At 41.2% G+C, this 5,838-nt stretch overlaps 1 annotated feature.

The window, feature by feature from the left end:
• Positions 5,027–5,543: an enhancer, noted in NCBI's record as "NANOG-H3K27ac-H3K4me1 hESC enhancer chr2:102552199-102552715 (GRCh37/hg19 assembly coordinates)". NCBI's record gives its function as "activates a minimal SCP1, AML or CMV promoter by ChIP-STARR-seq in naive H9 embryonic stem cells {active_cell/tissue: H9 hESC(naive)}" and the evidence as "EXISTENCE:reporter gene assay evidence [ECO:0000049][PMID:30033119]".

The raw sequence follows: 5,838 nt of genomic DNA, 5'->3' as shown, positions 1-5,838 counted from the left end.
GTGGCTTTAGGCCAAGGAAAATGTGCTCCATCCCGCAGGTCCAGCATCCCCCATCCCACACCTAATAACACCAGAAGGACCAGGGAAGCACCTTTTTTCCTCTTGAGCAGGACATTAGGAAGTTAACAGGAGCTCAAATGGAGCCAGAAAATGAAACAGACCAGAATAATATTGCAGGGTCTCCATAAACTAAGTTGTCATTGGAATTATAGCCCGCAAAAGTACACGACAATCTAAACGCTAAACCAAAATATGGCAATTGCCTGCTAAAATAGAAAATTTAAGTAAGATTAAGACTCTCAAAAAATCATTCATCACTCCAAAAACCAGGTAAGCCGTAACTCAAGTGAATAAAGAAAATCAACTGATAGCAATACTGAGATAAATCAGGCAGTGGACTTACCTGGCAAAGATGTAAAGCTGCCACCATAACTGGAATTGCTTCAAGTAACTACAAACTCATTTGAAACAAACTTAAAAATATAAAATATCAGCAAAATAAAATAGAAATAATTTTAAAAATGAAAATGTTTGATATGATTTCGTTGTGTCCCCACCAAAATCTCAACTTGAATTGTATCTCTCAGAATTTCCACATGTTGTGGGAGGGACCCAGAGGGAGGTAATTGAAGAATGGGGGCCAGTCTTTCCCATGATAGTGAAGGAATCCAGTGTCAGCTTTCTACATATGGTTAGCCAGTTTTCCCAACACCATTTATTAAATAGGGAATCCTTTCCCCATTGCTTGTTTTTGTCAGGTTTGTCAAAGATGGTTGTAGATGTGTGTTGTAGATGTGTGGCATCTCTGTTCTGTTCATTGGTCTATATATCTGTTTTGGTACCAGTACCATGTTGTTTGGTTACTGTAACCTTGTAGTGTAGTTTGAAATCAGGTAGTGTGATGCCTCCAGCTTTGTTCTTTTTGCTTAGGACTGTCTTGGCCATACAGGCTCTTTTTTGGTTCCATATGAAATTTAAAGTAGTTTTTTCTAATTCTGTCAAGAAAGTCAATGGTAGCTTGATGGGGATAGCATTGAATCTATAAACTACTGGGCAGTATGGCTATTTTCATAATGTTGATTCTTCCTATCCATAAGCATGGAACGTTTTTCCATTTGTTTCTGTCCTCTCTTATTTCCTTAAGCAGTAGTTTGTAGGTCTCCTTGAAGAGGTTCTTCATATCCCTTGTAAGTTGTATTCCTAGGTATTTTATTCTCTTAGTAGCAATTGTGAATGGGAGTTCACTCATGATTTGGCTCTCTGTTTGTCTATTATTGGTGTATAGGAATGCTTGTGATTTTTGCACATTGATTTTGTATCCTGAGACTTCGCTGAAGTTGCTTATCAGCTTAAGGAGATTTGGGGCTGAGACAATGGAGTTTTCTAAATATACAATTATGTCATCTCCAAACAGAGACAATTTGACTTCCTCTCTTCCTATTTGAATATGCTTTATTTCTTTCTCTTGCCTGATTGCCCTAGCCAGAACTTCTAATACTATGTTTAATAGGAGTGGTGAGAGAGGGCATCCTTATCTTGTGCCAGTTTTCAAAGGGAATGCTTCCAGTTTTTACCCATTCATTATGATATTGGCTGTGGGTTTGTCATAAATAGCTCTTATTATTTTGAGATACGTTCCATCAATACCTAGTTTATTGAGAGTTTTTAGCATGAAGGGGTGTTGAATTTTATTGAAGGTCTTTTCTGCATCTATTGAGATAATCATGTGGTTCTTGTCATTGGTTCTGTTTATGTGATGTACTACATTTATTGATTTGCATATGTTGAACTAGCCTTGCATCCCAGGGATGCAGCCAACTTGATCATGGTGGATAAGCTTTTTGATGTGCTGCTGGATTCAGTTTGCCAGTATTTTATTGAGGATTTTCGCATCTATGTTCATCAGGGATATTGGCCTGAAATTTTCTTTTTTTGTTGTGTCTGCCAGGTTTTGGTATCAGGATGATGCTGGCCTCATAAAATGAGTTAGGGAGGAGTCCATCTTTTTCTATTGTTTGGAATAGTTTCAGAAGAAACAGTACCAGCTCCTCTTTGTACCTCTGGTAGAATTCGGCTGTGAATCCATCTAGTCCTGGACTTATTTTGGTTAGTAAGCTATTAATTACTGCCTCAATTTCAGAACTTGTTATTGGTCTATTCAGGGATTCAACTTCTTCCTGGTTTAGTCTTGGGAGGGTGTATGTGTCCAGGAATTTATCCATTTCTTCTAGATTTTCTAGTTTATTTGCATAAAGGTGTTTATAGTATTCTCTGTTGGTAGTTTGTATTTCCATGGGATCAGTGGTGATATCTGCTTCATCATTTTTTATTGTGTCTATTTGATTCTTCTCTCTTTTCTTCTTTATTAGTCTAGCTAGTGATCTATCTATTTTGTTAATCTTTTCAAAAAACCAGCTTCCGCATTTATTGATTTTTTGAAGGGTTTTTCGTGTCCCTATCTCCTTCAGTTCTGCTCTGATCTTAGTTATTTCTTGTCTTCTGCTAGCTTTTGAATTTGTTTTCTCTGGCTTCTCTAGTTCTTTTAATTGTGATGTTAGGGTGTCAGTTTTAGATCTTTCCTGCTTTTCCTGTGGGCATTTAGTGCTATAAATTTTCCTCTAAACACTGCTTTAGCTGTGTCCCAGAGATTCTTGTACCTTGTGTCTTTGTTCTCATTGGTTTCAAAGAACATCTTTATTTCTGCCTTAGTTTCGGTATTTACCCAGCAGTCATTCAGGAGCAGGTTGTTCAGTTTCCATGTAGTTGTGCAGTTTTCAGTGAGTTTCTTAATTCCGAGTTCTAATTTGATTGTACTGTGGACTGAGAGACTGTTTGTTATGATTTCCATTATTTTGCATTTGCTGAGGAGTATTTTACTTCCAATTATGTGATCAATTTTAGAATAAGTGTGATGTGGTGCTGAGAAGAATGTATATTTTGTTGATTTGGGTTGGAGAGTTCTGTAAATGTCTATTAGGTCTGCTTGGTCCAGAGCTGAGTTCAAGTCCTGAATATCCTTGTTAATTTTCTATCTCGATGATTTGTCTAATATTGACAGTGGGGTGTTAAAAGTCTCCCACTATTATTGTGTGGGAGTCTAAGTCTCTTTGTAGGTCTCTAAGAACTTGATTTATGAATCTGGGTGCTCCTGTATTGGGTGCAAATTTAGGATAGTCAGCTCTTCTTGTTGCATTGATCCCTTTACCATTATGTAATGGCCTTCTTTGTCTTTTTTGATCTTTGTTGGTTTAAAGTGTGTTTTATGAGACACTAGGATTGCAACCCCTGCTTTTTTTTGCTTTCCATTTGCTTGGTAAATATTCCCCCATCCCTTTACTTTGAGCCGATGTGTGTCTTTGAGATGGGTCTCCTGAATACAGCACACTGATGGGTCTTGACTCTTTATCCAATTTGCCAGTCTGTGTCTTTTAATTGGGGCATTTAGTCCATTTACATTTAAGGTTAATATTGTTATGTGTGAATTCGGTCCTATCATTATGATGCTACTGGTTATTTTGCCCATTAGTTGCTGCAGTTTCTTCATAGTGTCTATGGTCTTTATAATTTGGTATGTTTCTGCAGTGGCTGGTAACCGGTTTTTCCTTTACATATTTAGTGCTTCCTTCAGGAGCTCTTGTAAGGCAGGCCTGGTGGTGACAAAATCTCTCAGCATTTGCTTGTCTGTAAAGGATTTTATTTCTCCTTTGCTTATGAAGCTTAGTTTGGCTGGATATGAAATTCTGGGTTGAAAATTCTTTTCCTTAAGAATGTTTAAGATTGGCCTCCACTCTCTTCTGGCTTATGGGGTTTCTGCAGAAATCCACTGTTAGTCTGATGGGCTTCCCTTTGTGGGTAACCCAACCTTTCTCTCTGGCTGCCCTTAACATTTTTTCCTTCATTTCAACCTTGGTGAATCTGACGATTATGTGTCTTGGGATTGCCCTTCTTGAGCAGTATCTTTGTGTTGTTCTCTGTATTTCCTGAATTTGAATGTTGGCCTGTCTTGCTAGGCTGGGGAAGTTCTCTTGGATACTATCCTGAAAAGTGCTTTCCAACTTGGTTCCATTCTCCCTGTCACTTTCAGGGTATACCAATCAAAGGTACGTTTGGTCTTTTCACATAGTCCCATATTTCTTGGAGGCTTTGTTAGTTCCTTTTTATTCTTTTTTCTCTAATCTTGTCTTCATGCTTTCTTTCATTAAGTTGATCTTCAATTTCTGATATCCTTTCTTCCACTTGATCAATTCAACTATTGATACTTGTATGTGCTTCACCAAGTACTTGTGCTGTGTTTTTCAGCTCCATTAGGTCATTTATGTTCTTGTCCAAATTGGTTATTCTAGTTAGCAATTCCTCTAACCTTTTTTCAAGGTTCTTAGCTTCCTTGCATTGGGTTAGAACATGCTTCTTTAGCTCAAAGGAGTTTGTTATTACCCACCTTCTGAAGCCTAATTCTATCAATTCGTCAAACTCATTCTCCATCCAGTTTTGTTCCCTGGCTGGCGAGCAGTTGTGATCCTTTGAAGGAGACGAGATTTTCTGGTTTTTGGAATGTTTAGCCTTTTTGTGCTGGTTTTTCCTCACCTTCGTGGATTTATATATCTTTGGTCTTTGATGATGGTGACATTTGGGTGGGGTTTTTGAGTGGATGTCGTTTTTGTTGATGCTGATGCTATTCGTTTCTGTTTGTTAGTTTTCTTTCTAACAGGTCCCTCTGCTGCAGGTCTGCTGGAGTTTGTTGGAGGTCCTCTCCAGACCCTGTTTGTCTGTGTATCACCAGCAGAGGCTACAGAACAGCAAAGATTGCTGCCTGTTCCTTCCTCTAAAAGTTTTGTCCCAGACGGGCACTCACCAGATGCCAGCCAGAGCTCTCCTTTATAAGGCGTCTTTTGACCCCTGCTGGGAGGTGTCTCCCAGTCAGGAGACATGGGGGTCAGGGACCCACTTGAGGAGACAGTCTGTCCCTTAGCAGAGTTCAAGTGCTGTGCTGGAAGATTAGCTGCTCTCTTCAGAGCTGGCAGGCAGGAACATTTAAGTCTGCTGAAGCTGTGCCCACAGTCACCCCTTCCCTCAGGTGCTCTGTCCCAGGGAGATGGGAGTTTTATCTCTAAACCCCTGACTGGGGCTGCTGCTTTTTCTTTCAGAGATGCCCTGCCCAGAGAGGAGAAATCTAGAGAGGCAGTCTGGCTACAGCTCTCTGTGGTGGGCTCCGCCCAGTTTGAACTTCCCTGCGGCATTGTTTACACTGTGAGGGGAAAACTGCCTACCCAAGCCTCAGTAATAATGGATGCCCCTCCCCCCACCAAGCTCCAGCATCCCAGGTCAACTTCAGACTGCTGTGCTGGCAGCAAGAATTTCAAGCCAGTGAATCTTAGCTTGCTGGGCTCCCTGGGGCTGGAATCTGCTGAGCTAGACTACCTGGCTCCCTGGCTTCAGCCTCCTTTCCAGGGGAGTGAACTGTTCTCGCTCACTGGCGTTCCAGGCACCACTGGGGTATGAAAAAGAACTCCTGCACCTAGCTCGGTGTCTGCCCAAATGACTGCTCAGTTTTGTGCTTGAAATCCAGGGCCCTGGTGGTGCAGGCACCCAAGGAATCTCCTGGTCTGTGGGTTGTGAAGACCATGGGAAAAGCTTAGTGTCTGGGCTGGAGTGCACCATTCCTCACAGCACAGTCCCTCACACCCTCCCTTGGCTAGGGGAGGGAGTTCCCTGACCCCTTGCACTTCCCAGGTGAGGTGACACCCCACCCTGCTTCAGCTCGCCCTCCATGGGTTGCACCCACTGTCTAACCAGTCCTAATGAGATGAGCCAGGTACCTCAGTTGGAAATGCCTCTGCA

Source organism: Homo sapiens, chromosome 2 (genome assembly GCF_000001405.40).
Source record: "Homo sapiens chromosome 2, GRCh38.p14 Primary Assembly".
NCBI lineage: Eukaryota > Metazoa > Chordata > Mammalia > Primates > Hominidae > Homo > Homo sapiens.
The sequence above is the reverse complement of the archived record's forward strand: the minus strand, read 5'-3'. Positions and strand labels throughout refer to the sequence as shown.